Below are 22,100 nucleotides of genomic sequence, written 5' to 3'. Positions count from 1 at the left end.
CTACTCCAGGTGCCTGTCCTAGAGAGGTAGTGGGCCTGCTGAGGTAGGTGTGAATAAGCACACTTCCTCTCCCCCTCCCAGGATCTCAGTCTGGTGAATTCATCATCACGGGTAGGGCTGAAATCAGCCATGTGTACCTCCTTTATCCTTCACCCCAGGTACCAGTGAAGCACTCCTCTGCACCTAGGCCATCCCAGAGGTTGTCACAAAGTAGCCAGTTTCTCTCAGGAGCTCACCAAGCCAACATCTTCACCCAGAGGACTGGAACTGTAGGTGGAGACCCACATCTCGGATGTGCAGCCATCTGAGTCTTTGTGTCCCCTTCCCCAAGCTCTGCATCCAGCCTGGTCTGAGGACTGAGAGGAGCTTGGGTCAAAGCTGCAGGCTCCAAATCCCCAAACCCAGCTTACAGTTCAAGTGGGGCTGTGGGGTACAATAAACCCAGGCCAGCAGCTGAGGGCAGAGGAATGGCTCAGAAGACTTGGGGTCCCAGAAAAGGGTAATGGCTCTCTCATCATCCGAGCTCCTCACTCTCTTCTACCCTGCTTCAGTGCCTCCCTCTCACCACCCCTGCCACCAGGTCCACTCACAGACTGGAGACGGGGTAGGGACTCGCTATCCCATCCTCACTCTCAGGGCAGCTGTTTTCTGCGCTGGATTTTGTCCAGCCAGGTTTCCACCTCCAGAAAAGCCCCTACTGCTTCCTTCATTTCCCTTAGGGCTCCTAACCTTGATTCTAAGCTCCAGCACCAAGCAGACAGACCTCAATATCTCCAGGATGTAACATCTCCCTGAGACTGCTCTACCACTGCAGGCTCAAGTTCACAGGCAGGGGCTTAGGGTTGATGCCTAATCAACCTAGATTCCTGCATCTAGGAAGACCAGGCAGAGATGGGACCTAGGGGGTTGTGCACACCATCTGACACAACAAGAAGCTTCTTTCATGGCATGAATAAGGGTAAGGGAGACAGGCAGGTATCTTGGAGAGAAAGCAAGCCTAAGCTTTTAGGAAAGAAAAAGGTACAGCCCCCTCCTCTTCCCTGCCATCTCTCCTTTTTTTCTACAATCTGTGCCAGGCGAGAAAGTCTCCTCCTCCAGGGGAGGTAGAGGGGGCATCACTCCAGCTTTCCTTTCCCCAGACCAACTTTGTTCCCTTTCACCGGCTCTGTGTCAATCTAGAGTGTGGGATGGGGAGCAGAATAGGCCCAAGTGGCTCTCCCAGCCCCACCCCACCAAATGCTTAGAATTACCTGCAGAACTTGGTAAAAATACACATTTGTTGGCTCTATTCTGAGATTCTATTTAAGGCGGTCTGGCGTGTTGCTTCTAATTCTGTTTTTAAAAAGTCACCCAGGTGATTCTGAAGTGCAGCCAAGTTTGGAAGCAAACTAATATAATATGACTTCGGAATTATCTGCATGCCCCCTCCCAAGCCCATGCTATTCTATCTGTCTGAGAATTCCTCAGAGACAGGCTGCTCACTACTTTCTTAGTCACTCCCATTAGGCAGGTGGGGAAACCAGGGAGCTGGGAATTTAAAACTTTCTGGTTCCAGGATCTGCCTCTAGACCAGGTAAAAGATCCAAGAAATCTTATCTCCTTGTTTTTGCCTAGTCTTGTTCCAGGAACACCAGCTTCTTGCCAACAGAGTCACTCCCTGCCCTGCTTAAGGTCTCAGCCTTAAGGTCTCTTGAGTCTGAAAACCTCAGACTCAAGAGCTCAATTATTTCTCCTCTAGGCCACCAAATTCCAGCCCCTCTACTCTGTGGACCTTAGAATGAAACACCACCTCTTTATCCCCCTCCCAACAGTACCTCCATCTTCAACCCCATGCCTTCTGCATCCCATCCTTCCCCAAGAGCAACCCAATATTTCTGTCTCTGGCCATGGCTGTCCTGACTACATCTCTCCTGACACTCATTTCCTCCTCTTCCTATGGTTTCCCTATCCTGTCATAAGCCATCCTTCAAAAAACAAGATGTAAGGAGCTTGCTGCTGAGTTTAGCACTCTGGAAACCAGATGGATTCTCCAGCTCTGACGTGAGGATTACAACTCTAAGGTCCCAATCCAGTATTAAATATAGATTCTAAGTTATGACCCAATAACCCTCACACATCATATACCATAATAAACTCCAAATGGATAAAAGATTTTAAAATGTTAAAAATTAAACTACAGAAAAACATCATACAAAATGGCAGAGTAAGAAGTTATAGGGGTTGGTCCCTCCACCAAAGCAACTATTGAGGTGGAAAGAGCAATTGGAATCGACTCTTTCAGAAGTCTGGAGCCCGATTGGACACTTATAACAAGCAGGGGGGGTGGTACTTGATGAAGGGAGAGGTTGCTGGTCTTTCAGAAGAGAGCATAATGCATGCACTAGCTACCAACCAACACAGTGGGGATAGCAGCCCACATTCCTGAAGTAGCTGGGTGGTCACTGAGTGGGCAGGGGGAACCCTGTCCTCCAAAAATGAGGGGTTTTGCATTTGGGTTTGTCTTCTGGTTCCCTAAGGGACAGGCTTGCTTTGTTTCAGCCCTCTTGGGCTTCAGGATCTTCCTGAGCCACATATATCAGAAGATTTAAAGGGACAGAATCTTTTTGCGGGGAAGGAAGAGAACCCTTTGTCAGGTCATAAACAGAAATTTCAGTAACCCCACAAAACAAAGAATACACACTTTGCAAAAAACCGTTTGAAAAAGTCACCACAAATTGATGGCAGAGTTCTCAACAAGTGTATATCAGCAATCCCTAAGGAGTGAAAAAATTGAATTTCTAGAGATACCACACTGTAATATTCAGAATGCCCAGTTATCAACAAAAAATTACTAATACAAAGAAATAGGAAAGTATGGCCCATTCACAGGAAGAAAGGAATTTGACAGAGACTATCCCTGAGGAAGCCCAGATATTGGACATAGTAGATGAAGACTTTAACTGTCTTACTGTAAATGCTCAATAAATATTGATGATGGGAGGTTTGATGATAAGGGTGAGAAGCTGAAATCTCAAATACTGCTTTGTTGCTTGTTTTATTATGACCTCAAATTAAATTGGGAAACAATGGCCCTTTTGGAAAAAAAAAATAACTGTCTTAAATATGCTCAAAGAGCTGAAGGAAACCATGGGCAAAGAGTTAAGGGAAATCTGAAAAATGGTGTATGAACAAAATGAAACTATCAATAAAGAGATGGAAATTAGTAAAAAGAAAAAAAGGACTCAAGCAGAAATTCTGGAAGCAAAAATACAATAACTGAAATGTACAATTCACTAGGGGCAATCAACAACTAATTTAAGCAGAAAAAAAAGGATCAGTATTCTTGATGATAAGACAATTAAAATTATCAAGTATGAGAAGAAAAATAAACGAGCCTCAGGGATACCATCAAATGTACCTCATCACAGGAGTCTCAGGAGGAGAAGAGAGGGAACAGGGCATTAAAAAAATTGAAGAAATAATGACAAAACATCTGAAATCTGATGAAAAGCATGAATATACATACCCAAGAAGTTCACAAACTCTAAGAAGGATAAACTCAGAGATCCACACCAAGACAAATTATAGTCAAATTGTTGAAACCCAAAGATTTTAAAAGCAGCAAGAGAGAAGTAACTCATTATGTACAAGAGATTCTCAATAAGATTACCAGCTGATTTCAGAAACCATGGGAGGCCAAAAGACAATGGGGGATATATTTAAAGACTGAAGAAAAAAAAAAGTCAAACAAGAATTCTATATATCCAGCAAAACTATGCTGCAAGAATTAAGGAGAAATAAGACATTTCCAGATAAACAAAACTTAGGAAGTTCATTAATAGTAGACCTGCCCACAAGAAAAGCTAACGGGAGAAAGAAAAAACAAACAAACAAACAAACAAATGCTAAAGGAAGACCTTCAGAATGAAACAAAAGGACAAAAAATAATAACTCACAGCCACACAAAGAAACAAAGATCTCTGATAAACATAACAACATAGCAGGCTGGGCGCAGTGGCTCATGTCTGTAATCCCAGCACTTTGGGAGGCCAAGGTGAGCGGATCATTTGAGGTCAGGAGTTTGAGACCAACCAGGCCAACATGGTGAAACCCCATCTCTACAAAAAATAGAAAAATTAGCTGGATGTGGTGACAGGTGCCCATAATCCCAGTTACTCGGGAGGCTGAGGCAGGAGAATGGCTTGAACCCGGAGGGTGGAGGTTGCAGTGAGCCAAGATCACGCCACTGCACTCCAGCCTGGGCGAAAGAGTGAGACTCTGTCTCAAAAAAAAAAAAAAAAAAGTAACAACATTGCCAGGTATGCTGGTTCACACTTGTAATCCCATTACTTTGGGAGGCCAAGGCGGGTGAATTGCTTGAGGTCAGGCGTTCGAGACTAGCCTGGGCAACATAGTGAGACCTCGTGTCTACAAAAAATACAAAAATTAGCCAGGCATGGTGGCCCCACTACTCAGGAGACTGAGGTGGAAGGATCACTTGAGCCCAGGAGGTCGAGGCTGCTGTGAGCTGAGATTGTGCCACCGCACTCCAGCCTGGGTGACAAAGCGAGACCCTGTGTCAAAAAAAAAAAAAAAGATAAAAGCTAGTATTGTATTTTTAGTTTGTAGCCCCACTTTTTTCTATATAATTTAAAAGGAAAATGCATTAAACAATAATTATAAATCTATGTCAATGGGAACACAATGTATAAAGATGTAATCTGTGACAATAACAATATAAAGAAGGGACTAAAATGTATACGAGCAAAATGTTTATATACCATTGAAACTAAGTTGGTATTATTCAAACTAGGTTGTTATCAGTTTAGAATGTTAATTATAATCACCAAGGTATCCATTAGGAAAATAACTACAAAATATATAGAAAAGGAAAGCAAAGGGGAATCAAAATGGTTATGCTACAGACCAGGTGCAGTCGCTCATACCTATAATTCCAGCACTTTGGGTGGCCAAGGCAGGAGGATCGCTTGAGCCCAGGAGTTCAAGACCAGACTGGGCAACATAGCAAGACCTCATCTCTAGAAAAAATAAAAATGAAAAATGAAAACAGTAGCCGGACGTAGTGGCATGTGCCTGTGGTCCCAGCTCCTCAAGAGGCTGAGGCAGGCAGATCATTTGAGCCCAGGAGCTCAAGACTAGCCTGGGCTAGACATCGTGAAACCTCGTCTCTACAAAAAAAAAATAGAAAAATCAGCCAGGCGCAGTGGTGCTTGCCTGTAGTCCCAGCTCCTGGGGAGGTTGAGGTAGGAGGATCACTCGAGCCCAGGAGGCGGAGATTTCAGTGAGCCAAGATCAACCACTGCACTCCAGCCTGGGTGACAGAGTTAGACCCTGTCTCAAAAAAAAAAAAAAAAAAAAGAACTCTTACAATTTAATAATCAGATTTGCTGGAAGGAGGGGAAGGGTATGGATCCTGGAGCGTAGTGAGGAGACAGTCATGGTGTTCCAGGGGAGAGGCAGTGAGGCCTGCATGAAAGCAGTAGCTGGGAATAGAAGGAAGGCTCAGGCCCAGACATATTCAACTAATGAGGACATAAAATTTGGCAGCTGAGGACTGTCCACTTAGTTTGAGATAAGTGGGGCTGGGTGCCAGCAAATCCAGCTTTCAGGAAGGAAAAGGAGTGGGGATAAGTTAAGGGAAGTGAAAGTGTCTAGCTACATAAATAGCAGGCCAATCCCAGCCCACGCACAGACCCCCAACTTGCAGCTGCCCACCTCACCCTCAGCTCTGGCCTCTTACTCACCCTCTACCACAGACATGGCTCAGTCACTGGCTCTGAGCCTCCTTATCCTGGTTCTGGCCTTTGGCATCCCCAGGACCCAAGGTACCAAGGCAGGGAGGGGCCTTGCATGGGGCTAAGGGGATCAAGAGGCCTGGATAGGAGCTTGCCAGCAGCCCCTGGCTCCCTGTGAATCCCACCCTGCAGGCAGTGATGGAGGGGCTCAGGACTGTTGCCTCAAGTACAGCCAAAGGAAGATTCCCGCCAAGGTTGTCCGCAGCTACCGGAAGCAGGAACCAAGCTTAGGCTGCTCCATCCCAGCTATCCTGTGAGTGGACACAAAGGGGTGGGTACTGGCTGGTGACGGGGTGGGGAGGGCATGGTGGGCAAGACTAAGAAGGCTTACTAGCCCCCACCCGCAGGTTCTTGCCCCGCAAGCGCTCTCAGGCAGAGCTATGTGCAGACCCAAAGGAGCTCTGGGTGCAGCAGCTGATGCAGCATCTGGACAAGACACCATCCCCACAGAAACCAGCCCAGGGCTGCAGGAAGGACAGGGGGGCCTCCAAGACTGGCAAGAAAGGAAAGGGCTCCAAAGGCTGCAAGAGGTGAGGAATCTGAGGGATGTGGGTAAAGGGGAGCCTCAGTCAGCCCCTCACACCCCTCTTCTGCCCTCACAGGACTGAGCGGTCACAGACCCCTAAAGGGCCATAGCCCAGTGAGCAGCCTGGAGCCCTGGAGACCCCACCAGCCTCACCAGCGCTTGAAGCCTGAACCCAAGATGCAAGAAGGAGGCTATGCTCAGGGGCCCTGGAGCAGCCACCCCATGCTGGCCTTGCCACACTCTTTCTCCTGCTTTAACCACCCCATCTGCATTCCCAGCTCTACCCTGCATGGCTGAGCTGCCCACAGCAGGCCAGGTCCAGAGAGACCGAGGAGGGAGAGTCTCCCAGGGAGCATGAGAGGAGGCAGCAGGACTGTCCCCTTGAAGGAGAATCATCAGGACCCTGGACCTGATACGGCTCCCCAGTACACCCCACCTCTTCCTTGTAAATATGATTTATACCTAACTGAATAAAAAGCTGTTCTGTCTTCCCACCCAAGTACCTGTTCCCATGTGTTTATGTCCACCGAGATGCCAAGGTTCCTACAGGGTGGGGTCACACACTCTGAGCCGAAAGCTCAGGCTGAAAAATGCTATGTTCTCATCTACCCCAAGAGTTTCCTTGCCTCTCAGGTGCCTGCACCCCTGAGCAGTTAAAGGGAGGCTGAAGGACAGGGTAGGACCCAGTCTTCTGAGGCATCCTGCCAATGGAGAGGTGGTGGACATGGAGCACACACCCCCAACAGCTCTGCAGACCTCTGAGACCCTGATTCTGTCCTGCACTAACTCCAGGGGTGACCTTCGGATCTTTTCCATGACCTTCAGACCTTTCCCCAGATATCCCAGAGGCTTCCTCTCTTTTCCCTGGGAACTATTCAATGAGACCCTCCAAGTGGTTCTTTGGAAGGGTCCCTAGGAGGGAAGCTGTGGCTTGGGCCCATCTATAACACAGACAAACACAAGTTATATTGAAACCTGCCCTAGCACAGTTCCAGCCCTGAGAGAGCCCCTGGGAGGCAAAGACCCGAGGGGACTTGCTTCAGCCCTATTCAGTGAAGCTCGGGCCTTGACCTCTCCTCTTTGTTTAATGGGGCTGTTGTGCTCTCCTTCTATTCCTATCTGGGCCCCTGGACTCACTCAGCCTCCTTCCAGATGGAAAAACCTCCTCCCTTTTTTTTTCCTCCTTTCTTTCCTGGCTGGGATCCAGACTACTTTAGCCCATTTAACCCTTTGAAGTCAAGGAATAAGTCTCCTGGGGCAGGTTTTCAGAACCCCAGGATTCAGGTGTGAATCAGTCTCCTCTCCTGGAAGGCCTCAGATGGCTCTCCTCTACCTCTTCCTCCCCAGAGTGAAGACCCTTCTATTCCCCAAATCACCTCCAGGCGGGGAGAGTAGAAGCCATCAGATTGGGCCAGACAATGTGAGAAAGAAGGGAACAGATCCTGGGGAAGGGCAAGAAAGGTAGGAACCTCAAGGCCGGGCGCGGTGGCTCAGGCCTGTAATCCCAGCACTTTGGGAGGCCAAGGCAGGCGGATCATGAGGTCAGGAGTTCCTGACCAGCCTGGCCAACATGGTGAAACCCCGTCTCTACTAAAAATACAAAAATTAGCCGGGCATTGTGGCGGGCGCCTGTAATCCCAGCTACTCGGGAGGCTGAGGAAGGAGAATCACTTGAACCCAGGAGGCGGAGGTTGCAGTGAGGTGAGATCGATTGTGCCATTGCACTCCAGTCTGGGCGACAAGAGCAAGACTCCATTTCAGGAAAAGAAAAAAAAAGGAGGAGAAGAAGAAGAAGAAAGGTAGGAACCTCAGAAGCTAGAAGTGGCTGCTCCATCAACTTTTCCTTCTGTAGGAGCCTGAGTATGCCACAGCACTTACCACCTATCCTAACATCCTCAAGTATTGGCTTGTCTGCTCCTCTTGCAGCAGGTGAAGACAGGGCCTCTCCCCTGCCTGTCCTAGGGCAGCAGGTGTGAAATTAATCTATAAACTCAGATATGCAAGAAATACTACTTTTGAAATGTTCCTTAAATGAACTTAATTCCTACTCCAAGCTACTGCACTAGAGTGCTGATGAGAAATTCAACATCAGGCACTCTTGTGGGATCCCACCTGCCAAGGGTTATGCAAAGGTCACAGAAACCTCAAGGCCCAAGGGAGGCCTCCTACCTGCCTCCTACACCATCCTATCATTGGACATCAGTCTCGCCAGTGAGTGTTCTGACCCCTGTGGTTCCAGCAGGTATATCTCTTCAAGTCCTAGACTCCACATTTGAGACATAAGAATTCAGATATGACAGCCTCTGGGCTTGGACTTGACCTCCCCAGATACCCCCGAAGCCATCTACTCAACAGTCCTGTCACTTGCCCCATCACAGACAGAAATTAGAGCCCAGTGCCCACTCTGGCTGGATGTACACACTAATCCCTTCGCAGTCCTAAACAATTGTCTCCCTCTCCTCAGCCCCTCCAGGGCATAACCTCTTCCCCAAGTTTACAAGTTTACTTTTTTTTTTTTTTAAGGCTTGCTTTGTAGTCCAGGCTGGAGTGCAAAGGTAGGATCATAGCTCACTGTAACCTCAAACTCCTGGGCTCAAGGGATCCTCCTGCCTCAGGCTCCAAGTTGCTGGGATTACAGGTGTGAGCCTCTATGCCCGGCATTTTCCCCTGGTGTAAGACATTTACAAAAGGCCTTTGACGTCAGGCTCCCTTTGACATCAGGACATCACTCCCAGCCCTGCCAAAACTCTTGCCTACTCTATAGTGAAAAGAAAAACATAGGCAGAAAAAACAAAACTCTCTATTTCACTAAATTCTCCTGCCACACCTGCATGCCTGGTATTTGCCTCAAGCCCTGCTCTGAGTAAGCATGCAATATATTATTTATTCCATCAGATCATGACTGGCCACTCTCCTTGTCTGCCTTCATCTTTGACAACATTGTCCTGTTCTTTCTCTTTTCTCTCTTATTCTCTTGATGCATAATTCAAAAAATATCACATAATACACACTCACAGTTAAAAAATATATCCAAAAGTACCAAAAGGTTTATTCTGAATAACATAATTTCCTACAACTTTAACTCCTATGCTATTTCTTAGTGCCATATGTCTAAGTACTTTGCCTATACCTCTGTTTCTTGATTTACCTATTTTAAACATTACCAGATGACTTCCTACTATAAAAAGTGAAGATCTAACTCTCTTGCCAACTCTCCTCTCCTGTCACTGCATCCTCTAAATATAGTCATACCATAATATTTAGATCATGATTATATTACCATATTTAGATCATAATTACAGTTTATATTATTGTGGATTACTATTACATAATATGTATTATCACATATTACATTATTTTGACTATATAAATGTTCTCTGCAGACAAAAGTAGTGCACTTTTCCTTCGTCACTCATCTTTTTGTTTTTCTTAAAGGTTCTAATGCCCTTCCCTTTTTAAAATACCTCTATCTTGACATTGCCTTTCAAATTCTTCATCATATGAGATGGATTCAAAACATAATGTTTAAGATATACGTAGAAGAAAATATAGGTGAATGTGGTTATAACTTCGAGGTATAAAATAACTTTTTTTTAAAATAAAATGGAGACCAGGTCTCACTATATTGCCCAAGCTGGTCTTGAACTCCTGGGCTCAAGCGCTCCACCCGCCTCAGCCTCCCAAAGTGCTGGGATTACAGCCATGAGCCACTCTGCTTGGCCAAAAAGAGTTTCTTAAACAAGTCATAAAACCATAAAACGTAAATCATTAAAGATCAACACCATTAAATTTAAAAACAAATCGGAGTTCAGGGTAGGGATGGAAAATTAATTACATGCCTTTATTTTCACTTCTCACTGAGCCCCGACTAAAACTACAGTAAATTTTTTTGGTGCATGTATGCGTGTAAAGGCATAAAGCAAGGCCAGGCGCAGTGGCTTACGCCTGTAATCCCAACACTTTGGGAGGCCAAGACGCTCACTTCAGCTCAGGAGTTTGAGACCAACCTGGGCAACACAATGAGACCTCGTCTGTACAAAAAATAAAAAAAAGTAGCTGGTGTAGTGGCATGTGCCTATGGTCCCAGCTACTCAGGAGGCTGAGGTGGGAGGATCACTTGAGCCTGGGAGCCATATAGCCTGGGCTAAAAAGTGAGAGACCCTGTCTCAAAGTAAATAAATTAATTTTAAAAATAAAATAAAGGCATAAACCCCCAAGAGCCCAAATGGGAGAGGAGATAAAGGTAACTTTCCAAAAGCCTACTGCTGAGACACGTAAATATTTCAATAAAAATAGATACAAAGCATAAAATCAAATTATAAATATGAAGGATTTCTAATGTCTTATTCGTGAATACAGTAAAAATTCATATTTACTGAATATTCATATGCCAGTATCCAACAGGGAAACAATGACTTCTACTAGAGATGTAAAAAAAAAAAAATCCTAAAGATGAATTATCTCTAAAATCTACAAAATCTTCATTCCTTAAGCATGAAAACTCATTTTAATCCCTGGAATCCTGACTTTTCTTTATCACAGAACCACAGAAGCAATTTATTGCTTTAAAAGTGAGTTATCACTATGTTCTAACAATGAGTCCTCCTCAGTGTCATCCAGAAAATTACTAATACCATGTATTTTTGTTGTTTTTATTTGCTCCTTTTTTGAGATAGGGTCTTGCTCTGTCACCCAGGCTGAAGTGAGTGGCGCAATCTCAGCTCACTGCAACCTCAACCTCCTGGGCTCAAGCAATCCTCCCACCTCAGCCTCCTGAGTAGGTAGGACTACAGGCACACACCACCACACCCAGCTAATTTTGTTCATTTTTTGTAGAGACGAGGTCTCACTATGTTGCCCAGGCTGGTCTTAAAACTCCTGAGCTCAAGGGATCCTCCCACCTTGGCCTCCCAAAGTGCTGGGATTACAGGTGTGAGCCACTGTGCCTGGCCATACCATGTTTTTAAATAATTTCACCACTATCTCTTCCACAAAATGATAACATACACACACACACACACACACTAATGAAATCATGGGCTGACTCCCACTTGTCAGTGTTGCCTCAGAATCTCCTCCTGCTTCTCCCGGTTCACTCCTTCCTTGTCAATATTTTAAGGGCTTCTTTGATACAGATATAGAGGATAGGTGGGACTAGTAAAGAATTAGAGCTAGCTGGGCATGGCAGCTCACGCCTATAATCCCAGCACTTTGGGAGGCTGAGGTGGGCAGATGGCTTGAAGCCAGGAGTTTGAGACCAGCCTGGGCAACGAAGCAAGACCCCTGTCTCTACAAAAAAAAAAGAAAGAATTAGCCAGGCACGGTGGCACAGGCCTATTGTCCTAGCGACTTGGAGGCTGAGGTGGGAGGATCACTTGATTGCCTAGGAGTTCGAGGCTGCAGTGAGCTATGATCACACCATAGCTGATCATAGTGGAGCAATACCCCACCTTTAAAAAACAAAAAATTAGAGCTAATAGATCTCAGGCCAGGAACCGTGGCTCATGCCTATAATCCCAGCACTTTGGGAGGCTGAGGTGGGAGGATCTCTTGAACTCAGGAGTTCGAGGCTGCAGTGAAAAACAAACAAGCCTCAGTTAGTCCTATAAACCTGAAACCAATTCCAAAGTAAGCAGTCGGCCAGGTGCGGTGGCACACACCTGTAATCTCAGCTCTTTGGGAGGCAGAGGTAGGAGAACGGCTTAAGCCCAAGAGTTTGAGATCAGACTGAACAACATGGCAAGGCCCTGTCTCTACATTTTATTACAAGAAACTTTTTTTTAAGTGAAAGCAAGTTTATTAAGAAAGTAGAGGAATAAAAGAATGGTTACTCCATAGGCAAAGTAGCCTACAAAAAAACTCTTAAAGAGTAAGCAATCAGATTTCTTAAGAACCCCTCCCTTCAGGATACTTGGGCCACACTTTGGCTGGCCACAATTCCTACTTATTAATGATATCCTTTTAGAGGGCTGTGATTACCAACAACTGTCGGGTTCTTTCTTTTGATACCTTTCTTTTAAAAATTAAAAATAATGGGCTGGGGGCAGTGGCTCATGCCTGTAATCCCAGCACTTTGAGAGGCCGAGGCGGGTGGATCACCTGAGGTCAGGTGTTCGAAACCAGCCTGGCCAACATGGTGAAACTCCATCTGTACTAAAAATACAGAAATTAGCCAGGCATGGTGGTGGGTGCTTGTAATCCCAGCTATTCGGGAGGCTGAGGCAGGAGAATTGCTTGAACCCAGGAGGTTGCTGTGAGCCGAGGTCACACCATTGCGCTCCAGCCTGGGCAACAGAGCAAGACTCCGTCTCAAAAAAAAAAAATTTAAATTATGGGGCTACCAGAATGACACACTAGGTATCCTCTACCATGCCAAATGACCTAGTGGGAGTCAGAGGGGTGGGGTCTGTCACTTGTTGTCTATGAAAGGTGACATTAATTTGTTTCCCAGCTATAATCGCTTACCTGTGAAATATGTCTTAAGCTTCAGCTGGTATCCTTTGTGAAGTTCTTTTTCTTTCTCACATCCAGGCATTACTTCTCCTTGTATCTGGGGACAAAATAATGCTGTTTTGTTAAAGTCATCAACGTTTCTATCCTTTGCCATCAGTCTTGGGCTGGATTACCATTTTTATGGATGCTGAAATTGCCAACTCTCTTTTTTTCTAACGCCTATATTTGTAATTCTTTTTTTGAGACAGGGTCTTACTCTGTTGCCCAGGCTGGAGTGCAATGGTGCAGTAATAGCTCACTGCAGTCTCCAACTCTTGGCCTCAAGGGGTCCTCCAGCCTCATCCTCCCAAAGTGCTGGGATTACAGGCAAGAGCCACTGTGCCAGGCCTATATTTGTAATTCTTCTAGTAGTGCCTACTTTAAGGGGAATTGTATGACCTTGTGACCTTGGTGACCTACGTCTATTGCTATGTCAAGAAGCTGAAAGCTCTGTTTTCTTCAAGACAACCATTTCTCAGTAGGCAGCAAACTAAAACACCCCAGAGAAAGTCTGTTACCATATTCTTTGAGACTTTTGCTTTAGAATCATGGGTTGTGGTAATAATAAATTTCAATCCAATATTAAGAGAATAACTGAACACCACTTGTGAAGGCCTAAGCAGCCAGCGCCAGCTTCTGCTCGGAGTATCCCCTGCGCTGTGTGAGCCTCCGCCTGCTGGGAGGCGCTCACTGCCCCGCTCGGCCACCAGGAGGCAGCAGTCCTCTGTCTGCTACAGGAAAACAGGAGTGGGGGTTGAATTTTCCATTCTCATTTCCTTCATCTTTCTAGGACCAATTTGTTTTCAATTATTTTCACGATTTGTTCTCACATGTGTCTCATTCTAGGCCAAAGGTTGCGCGTTTCCCTGTGTCCACTTATGGGCAAGACAAGTTCCTTTTCCGCCCATGTCAGGCTATAGCCCTTCATCCTCCAGCCCCAGCCTCGCGCCTAATATATTTCCTTGGAATAAGGAAACCTTTCTTAGCGTTGGCCCCGTAATGAGTGGTGTAAGATATCTATCGGGTGCGAGCGAAGTGCCAGAGGTGATGTGAACCCTCCTTCAGCCTTTAAGCCAAACAGTAATTATTTCAAGACTTCAACATTGGGCACCTTGGGCTCTGGGTAAATCGGGACTATTTGGGGCGTGGGAGGGAAAGATAAATGCTTCATATTCGCCGACAAACACGGGCCTTCCCCCGGCCACCGGGCTGGGCCGGCCCCGCAGAGGACCCCCGAGGCTCGGGGGCCTGGGTGGCAGGGGTTTGGCCGGACGGCGGTGTCCTGGCCCGGGGTAACTGTCGGCCCAGGTCATCGGATGCGCGGGCACCACCCACAGCCCGAGCCTCCCCTCCATACGCCCGGCCCGCGCGCGGGGACCCCAGGGACGGCGGGGCCAGGGAGCCGGGAGGGCGCCAGAGGCTGTTCCAGGCCCAGGGACTTCGGACGCCCGCTCACCGCAGCCTCTCTGAGGAGCTCGCAGGGTCACAGCCGCATGCGCCCACCCCTCTGCCGCAGCCGCGCCCCACTCCAGAGCCTCCCTTCCCAGGCTCGGGGCGCCCCCTGCAGGCCCAGGAAGGGAGATGCATGGGCACGCTCACGGGCGCGGACACACATCCGCACACATGCCCCGGTCGCCCAGAGCCCCACAGACACAGTTCGGGATACGCACATTCATGCATGCGACATACACTAACCATCTAGTCCGGGTCCTCTCCCTACAGTCATTCACCCACCCCGACCCCCACCACGAACTTGGTTGACTCCCCTGCCCCAATGGCTAGTACGCGCGCATTCAGGATCTCCTACCCCTGGGGCGGGGATTTGGCCAGACCTGGAGCACGAAAGTTGGGCAGGCTCCTTGAAAAAAGGATGAGGCTAGGCTGGGCTGAATGGGTTGATCGCCCTGAGCTGGAACAAGATTCCCAGGACTCAGGCTGAACCAAGAACCCTGTATAAACGACTTGGCTGGGAAGAGGGTGAACAAGGCGAAGCACGTAGCGCTGATGCCTCTGTACCTGTGGTCAGAAACTGTTTCAAACACCTCCCTGACCTCCAGTCCCCCACCCCCATTGGATTATCTAAACCAACAGCTGTGGGTAGGTGCCTTAAACACTTCACACACCGGGCCTGTGTCCTTTCCCTTTTTGCCATGATAGTGGGTACCTTCGGAACACCCTGACTGCCACCTCCTTCCCTGATTCCTGTTTCTCTTCCTGATCTGTTCATGTTGGAGAGGTCCAGGACTTAGAACTTGGACCTCTTCTATCTACACTCACTCTCTTGGTGACCTCATTGTCTCATACCTTTAAGTACCATCCATTTACTCCCAAATGTGTGTCTTCAGCTAGAATCTCTTCCCTGAACTCCAGACTCATCCCAGCTACCTACTTAACATTTCCATTAATATGCCCAACATGCAGCTTCAACTTAAGTCTATACCAGGGTCCTGATCTCCCCACAAACCCACTCCTCTTCAATCATCCTCATCTTGTTAACTAAAATTATATCCAAGTTTCTCAAGTCAAAAATTTTGCAGTATTCTCTCCTCTTCTTTCTCTCATATCCTATGCTGAACCCCTCAGCAAAGTCTATTGGCTCTACTTTGTTTCCAGAATCTGAGCACTTCTCACCAACTCCATGCACCATCATCTCCTCCCTGGATTGTTGCAACGGCCTCCACCCTGGTCTCCCTGCTTCCATTCTTGCACCAGTTTGATCTACTCTCCATTCAACAGCTAGAGCGAGTTTATGTCACATCATACTTGTTCAATACCTTCCAATAGCTCCCCATCTCACTCCGCGGAATATAACAGTGGCCTACAAAACCCTGTGTTATCTGGCCCCTGTTATTATCTGACTGTATATCTCCTACCACCCTCCCCTTTTGGCCTCCTTGCTATTCCTCAGATACACTCTTGACTCTTTGCCCTTGCTGTTTTCTCTACCCAGAACATCTTCCCACAGACCTCTGCATGGATTTCTCCCTCACCTTCATCAGGTCAGCTCTCTGCTCAAATGTTATTAGTAAAGGTTTTCCTGACTGCCTTATTTAAAATAACCCCCTCCCTCAATACTCCCTATCCCTCTTGCCTTCTTTATTTTTCTTCATAGCACTTATTGCCATCTGAGATAGTATAGATTTTTCTTGTTTGCTTATTGTTTGTCTCTTTCATTAGCATAACAACTCTGCAAGAGCAGGAACGCGTATCTGTTGTGCTTACTGCTGTATCTCAGTGCCAAGAACGGTGTCTGGCACATAGGAGGCCCTCAATAAATATTTATTGAATGAATGTGTAACAGATGCCTTCTTTATTATTATTTCATTATTTCACCCTTTCCTGCTGATTCTCAGGGTCCTTCCCAACAGGCACTCCAGGCAGATGGTATTGAAATTGAATTAAAACCTCTCCGCCAGCTTTGCACTATACGATTGTGTCATTTAGGATCTTGGCAGGAAACAAATGGCATGCTCAAAAAGGGTTAATGGAAAATAATTTAGTGAAGGGACCACTTACAGAGGTGAGAGCAGGGTTGTTGCAGGCAGCCACTGCACATGAATTAGTATAGCTCCAAACCTCAGACCATCTCTTCTTCTAGGCAAAGTGTACACTAAATGTACTGCCCCAAATTCTGCCCACTGAGAGGACTTCCCTTAACCACTGTATTTCAGGACCATCCCTGGTTGGGGCTGTAATCAGCTGTCTCTTCCAGCTAATGCCAGCATACCTTACAGATCCTCTGTTAACTGTTTGTAGAGAACATCTCCATGAAGCTGTAAGTGTGATCAGAAGAAGAAGCAGAAAACAACACAAGTAGGAGTCCAAGCCATCTGGCCATGCTTTATTCATACCTTCTGAAACTTCTAAGGTCTGGTCTCATATATACAATTCATTTCATAATGAATGCTGCTGTGCACATCCAACTATATGATTTGCTTAGATAGCACCCTTAGGTCACGTTGTCACTGGATGAACTATAATCTGAGTTTTAGACCAGGGCCCCAAGGCCTATCAAGAGCTGCTTTTCAAATAGAAAAGAACTGTTAGCAGAAGAAGCATGGCCTTACTCCACTACACTAAGATTCTTTGCTTTAACTCTCCTACTAGGGCTCCTACAGCACACCCTTATCTGCCACAGATGACATGAAGTTCACTGGATTTGTGGGTCATTCAGCCAGAGCAGCAGGGCAACTTTCCCCGGAGCCTGGAGCTCATTCAAAACTATCAGCTTTGGCTGGGCACGGTGGCTCACACCTGTAATCCCAGCACTTTGGGAGGCCGAGGCAGGTGGATCACCGGAGGTCAGGAGTTCAAGACCAGCCTAACCAACATGAAGAAACCCCATCTCTACTAAAAAGACAAAATTAGCCAGGTGTGGTGGTGCATGCCCGCAGTCCTAGCTACTCAGGAGGCTGAGGCAGGAGAACCACTTGAACCTGGGAGCCGAGATCGCGCGATTGCACTCCAGCCTTGGCAAACAAGAGTGAAACTCCGTCCCAAAAAAGAACAACAAAAACAAACTGTCATCTTTATGAGCCTTTATGCAATAATCCAGCCATTTTGCAGTAGTACATTTTGCAGTACATTTTGCAGTAGTACATATAAATACAGTATATATTGCCTCTAAAACCCAAAATGCTCTGGAACGTTATGCCCTAGATGACTATTTTTCAGCTTGTCCCCATCTCCATAGCCTGGAAATTTCACCACATCTTGAAAAACACTGACTAGGAGGAAGATTTATAGAATCCGCCTGTGAAAGAGATCCAGGATCCCCCAGCCCCCCACCCAATCAAGAGGATTCAGTTCTGGGAAACTGGCTTAAGTCAAAAACTGGGTAAGACTGTAAATCCTTAATATAATCTGAAAATCAAGTTTCTGTTTACAAGGTCTAGAATTTTTCCACTTGTATGGGTCGAGTAGAACATTAGTAAGCTGTCCATCTATTTCATTACTAGGAACACCATGATTAATTAGCTACCACCACATATTCCTATGGGGCAAAGCACATGATTACCACTCATCCCTACAGATTTCATAGTAATTTCACTCACCTTATCACTCATGGTTAGGTGGTAACATCTGTCCTCTACCACGCAAGAATTCCATCATTCACCTTGAAATAAGCCTGCCCAGTCCCAAGAGAGCATCTCACAACCTCATGTCTAGCCTATTAAAGAAGCCACACAGTGCTTTTCAAAGAGTTGGTGTTCCCCTCACTAATGTGTTCTTGTGCCTTGAAGAAGAATCTTTCTGGGCCCTTCGGAGGTGTACAAAATAGGTAATTTCAACATTTATTTCTAACCTTTGAACCTCTTCCTCTACTTTACTATTCAAGGTATAGTCCAAGGACCACAGCATCAGCATCATTTAAAAGTTTGTGAAACGTGAAGGCTGGGTGCGGTGGCTCAGGCCTGTAATCCCAGTACTTTGGGAGGCCGAGGCAGGTGGATCGGCTGAGGTCAGGAGTTCAAGACCAGCCTGGCCAACATGATGAAACCCCATCTCTACTAAAAATACAAAAGTCAGCCGGGCATGATGGTATGTGCCTGTAATCCCAGCTACTTGGGAGGCTGAGGCAAGAGAATCGCTTGAACCCAGGAGGTGGAGGTTGCAGTGAGCAGAGATCGTGCCATTGCACTCCAGCCTGGGTGACAGAGCAAGACTCCACCTCAAAAAAAAAAATTTGTGAATGTGAAACATGAAACATCCTGGGCTTCACTACAGACCTACTGAATAGAATCTACAGTTTAATAAGATTCTCCTAGGTGAATCATGCACACATTAAAGTTTGAGGAGTTCTACAACAGGCCAGCGAGGTTCTAGCACCTCAGCCTCACTGATCACAGGCCACTGTCAAATCCAGGCTTCCAGGAATCAACCCAACAGAATATTAACACAACTCCCAGGTGCTCAGCTAATATTAACACAATGATACCCAAATCCTACATGAGAACACCTATATCAATAAATTTGTCCTCACTGGTTCCTGGGATTCTCCCAGGACAAGTTGACAAGTTCCTGCAAATTTCCCAGCACCTACGCTCTTGCTCTTGGAGCATATCCTGTACTTTCCTGTCCAGACAATGTTAGGATTAAACTTGCTACGGGCCTGGAGACTCTGAGGGCTGGTCAGGGTGGGTCCTGAGGGAAAAAGGCATGCCTTTTGCCAGAGAGTTATTATCTAACGGAAGGGAAGGTTGGATCCTTCATGGTTTACAGGGGAAGGGGGAATTATCCTCTGCCACCAAGGAAGATTCAGGGGGATTTGAAGGTCCAAAGTTCTCAGCTTTGTTCATCTCTGCTCAAATGTCACCATTCCAAGTTTCAGAGTCCTATGCCTTCCCAACAGTGCCTTTATTCCAGGATAAGGGCATCATCACTCATACATGAATCCAAGACACTCGGGTCTTGGATCTGATCCTCAGCCATATCTGTCATGTGGCCACATACAATAAACATTCCTTAAGACTTCCATTTGAGTTAGAAGTTCCTGGTCTAAACTTTTTTTTTTTTTTTTTTTTTGAGATGGAGTCTTGCTCTGTCGCCAGCCTGGAGTGCAATGGCATGATCTCTGCACACCGCAACTTCTGTCTCCCGGGTTAAAGCGATTCTCCTGCCTCAGCCCCCTGAGTAGCTGGGATTACAGGCACTCGCCAGCGTGCCTGGCTAATTTTTGTATTTTTAGTAGAGACAGGGTTTCGCCATGTTGGTCAAGCTGGTCTCAAACTCCTGACCTCAAGTGATCTGCCCCCCACAGCCTCCCAAAATGTTGGGATTACAGGCGTGAGCCACTGTGCCTGGCCTAACCTTATCTTTTTTATTGGAATTTTACTAGCACAATCAGAAATGGCCAGTGAGGTTCTGGCCTCAATATAGTACTATAGTAACAATATAGTAATCACCATTTGCAATCATCATTTGTGACCATAGTAAGTAAGTGCCTCAGGTACTTTATCTCCTAATGTCTTGACTTCCAACATTTCATCCATGCCTCACGAGTGATAGTCTAAGTGACTGTGATGCTTCTACGTGCTCCAGATTACTTGTGTCTTCTTTTTCCAACCACAGAGACCATCCATGCCCTCATCAAGGGCAAGCCAATCCTAGAATCCCATTTTGGGAATCTATGTCCTGGTACTGCCAATTATATCAGTGAGGACCCTGGCAGGAAACAGATAGCACACTCCAAGGATACAGGGAAAACCATGTTTCCCTACTCTCTACTCCCTCTCACCACTCAATACTTCTGTGACCTCTGGGTACCCATAAGTGTGTGGGGATTTCTCCCCACCAAGAAATTATCTGGCAGACAGTTCCTCAGTGGACACCAGATGGGTGTCCCCTAATTCAGTTCAATTCTGACATCATTTACCTGGAGGTAGCATCAGATCCCACAAGTTGAGGGTTCAGTTCCACAAGACTGCCCCCCTACTTCAGATACCAATTGCAAGCACAGAGTGTGGCCTATGCTTCTGACTGACCAGCTATAAATAAGGGTTTCCACAACCCACCTGGGGTTCAATTAATTTGCTACAGCGGCTCACAGAAGTCAGAGAAACACTTACTTATGCTTACCCATTTATTATAAAGGATATTACAAAGAACAGATAAACAGCCAGATGAAAGGGATGCATAGAGTGAGGTATGGGGAAAAAAAGGTGTGGAGCTTTCATGCCCTCTCTGGGCACCCTCCTCCAGAACCTCCATGTTTTCAGCTATCCAGAAGCCCCCACCCCAACTTAGTCCTTTCGGGTTTTTAATGGAAGTATCAGTACCTAGGTATAATTGATTACATCATCAGCCATTGGTTTATCAACTCAAGTTTCAACCCCTCTTCCCCTACCCAGAGGTGGGGAGTGGGTGGGACTCCCCACCACTACAGAATGTTAGAGAATGTTCCAACTCTCTAACCATGTGGCTGGTTCTTCTGCTGACTAGCTCCCATCCAGAGGCTGTCTAGAGGCCCCCAGCCACCAGTTATCTCATTAGCATACAAAAGACACAATCTCTCCCAAGATTCCAAGGATTTTAGGAGCTATATGTCAGAAAAGGAAGATGAAGACCAGATATATATTTCACAATATCACATACACTCAAAAAAAATTTAACTGGAAAGATTTTAATAAAGGGACAATTTAAGAGATTAGGTCAGGATTAAGGAACTAACATGGGATGATAGGCAGTTGGGGTCTAGCAATGGTGAGAAACCATTATCATACAAAGGCTTGAAGGGGCAAGAGGAGGGAACAGTGTTTCCAAAGCCTGTCATCCCAGCACTTTGGGAGGCCGAGGCGGGTGGATCACCTGAGGTCAGGAATTTGAGACCAGACTGGCCAACATGGTGAAATCTCATCTGTATTAAAAGTACAAAAATTAGGCCGGGCATGGTGGCTCACGCCTGTAATCCCTGCACTTTGGGAGGCCAAAGCAGGTGGATCACCTGAGGTCAGGAGTTCAAGACCAGCCTGGCCAACATGATGAAACCCCATCTCTACTAAAAATACAAAAAACTTAGCTGGGTGTGGTGGCGGGTCCCTGTAATCCCAGCTACTCAGGAGGCTGAGGCAGCAGAATCGCTTGAACCCAGGAGGCGGAGGTTGCAGTGAGCTGAGATTGTGCCATTGCACTCCAGCCTGGGTGACAAGGGTGAAACTCCATCTCAAAAAAAAAAATTAGCCAAGCGTGGTGGTGCGTGCCTCTAATCCCAGCTACTCGGGTGGCTGAGGCAAGAGAATTACTTGAACATAGGAGGCAGAGGCTGCAGTTAGCTGAGACTGTGCCACTGCACTAGAGCCTGGGTGACATATTGAGACTCTGTATCAAAAAAAAAAAAAAAAAAAAAAAAAAAAGAATAGAGATAGACCCGTGGAAGGGAGGCAACCCAAAAGGATCACTGTAGATCAGTGGGCCTCAATCTGTAGACCACTTTGGGAGGCCAAGGTGAGCCTTGGGATTCTCCTGCCTCAGCCTCCTGAGTAGCTGAGTAGTCAGGAGTTGAGATGGGGTTTCACCATGTTGGCCAGGCTTGTCTCAAACTCCTGTTCTGGATAAACAAAACTTAGGAAGTTCATTAATAGTACATCTGCCCATAAGAAAAGCTAAAGGGAGAAAGAAAAAACAAAAAACAAACAAAGAAATGCTAAAGGGAGACCTTCAGAATGAAACAAAAGGACAAAAAGTAATAACTTACAGCCACACAAAGAAACAAAGATCTCTGATAAACATAACAACATAGCAGGCCAGGCGTAATGAACTTCTTGGATATGTATATACATACTTTTCAT

The 22,100-nt window shown here is 46.3% G+C and overlaps 2 protein-coding genes across 3 annotated transcripts in view, besides 1 other annotated feature; one reads left to right on the top strand and one right to left on the bottom strand.

The window, feature by feature from the left end:
• PHF24 (PHD finger protein 24) overlaps positions 1–22,100 on the bottom strand; it is a 316,938-nt gene that overhangs the window by 266,720 nt on the left and 28,118 nt on the right. The window contains exons 1-2 of one of the 2 annotated variants that reach the window (XM_047423103.1): positions 14,270–14,309; positions 12,787–12,871 (exon numbers count right to left, since the gene is read on the bottom strand). In XM_047423103.1, the coding sequence (XP_047279059.1) occupies positions 12,787–12,856 (70 nt within the window). In that variant the 5' untranslated portion in view covers positions 12,857–12,871; positions 14,270–14,309. Of the gene's footprint in view, positions 1–12,786; positions 12,872–14,269; positions 14,310–22,100 lie in introns of those variants that run through there. The other variant, XM_047423102.1, reaches the window with a different exon arrangement.
• CCL21 (C-C motif chemokine ligand 21) lies at positions 5,689–6,820 on the top strand. Its single transcript, NM_002989.4, has 4 exons — positions 5,689–5,825; positions 5,928–6,048; positions 6,143–6,325; positions 6,398–6,820. Exons 1-4 carry the CDS (start codon positions 5,759–5,761, stop codon positions 6,429–6,431), a joined length of 405 nt encoding a protein of 134 aa, NP_002980.1. The 5' UTR covers positions 5,689–5,758; the 3' UTR covers positions 6,432–6,820.
• Positions 14,096–14,415: a silencer, noted in NCBI's record as "silent region_19856". NCBI's record gives its function as "represses an Ori minimal core promoter by ATAC-STARR-seq in GM12878 lymphoblastoid cells {active_cell/tissue: GM12878}" and the evidence as "EXISTENCE:reporter gene assay evidence [ECO:0000049][PMID:35858748]".

This window comes from Homo sapiens, chromosome 9 (assembly GCF_000001405.40).
Source record: "Homo sapiens chromosome 9, GRCh38.p14 Primary Assembly".
In the NCBI taxonomy this organism is placed as follows: Eukaryota; Metazoa; Chordata; class Mammalia; order Primates; family Hominidae; genus Homo; species Homo sapiens.
Note: the sequence above shows the minus strand (reverse complement) of the source record. Positions and strands in the feature narration are given on the sequence as shown.

Coding starts and splice junctions, on each gene's coding strand:
- CCL21 (NM_002989.4), top strand. CDS start 5,759: ATGGCTCAGTCACTGGCTCTGAGCCTCCTTATCCTGGTTCTGGCCTTT. Junction 6,049..6,142: donor TGCTCCATCCCAGCTATCCT/GTGAGTGGACAC, acceptor CCCCACCCGCAG/GTTCTTGCCCCGCAAGCGCT. Junction 6,326..6,397: donor GGCTCCAAAGGCTGCAAGAG/GTGAGGAATCTG, acceptor CTGCCCTCACAG/GACTGAGCGGTCACAGACCC.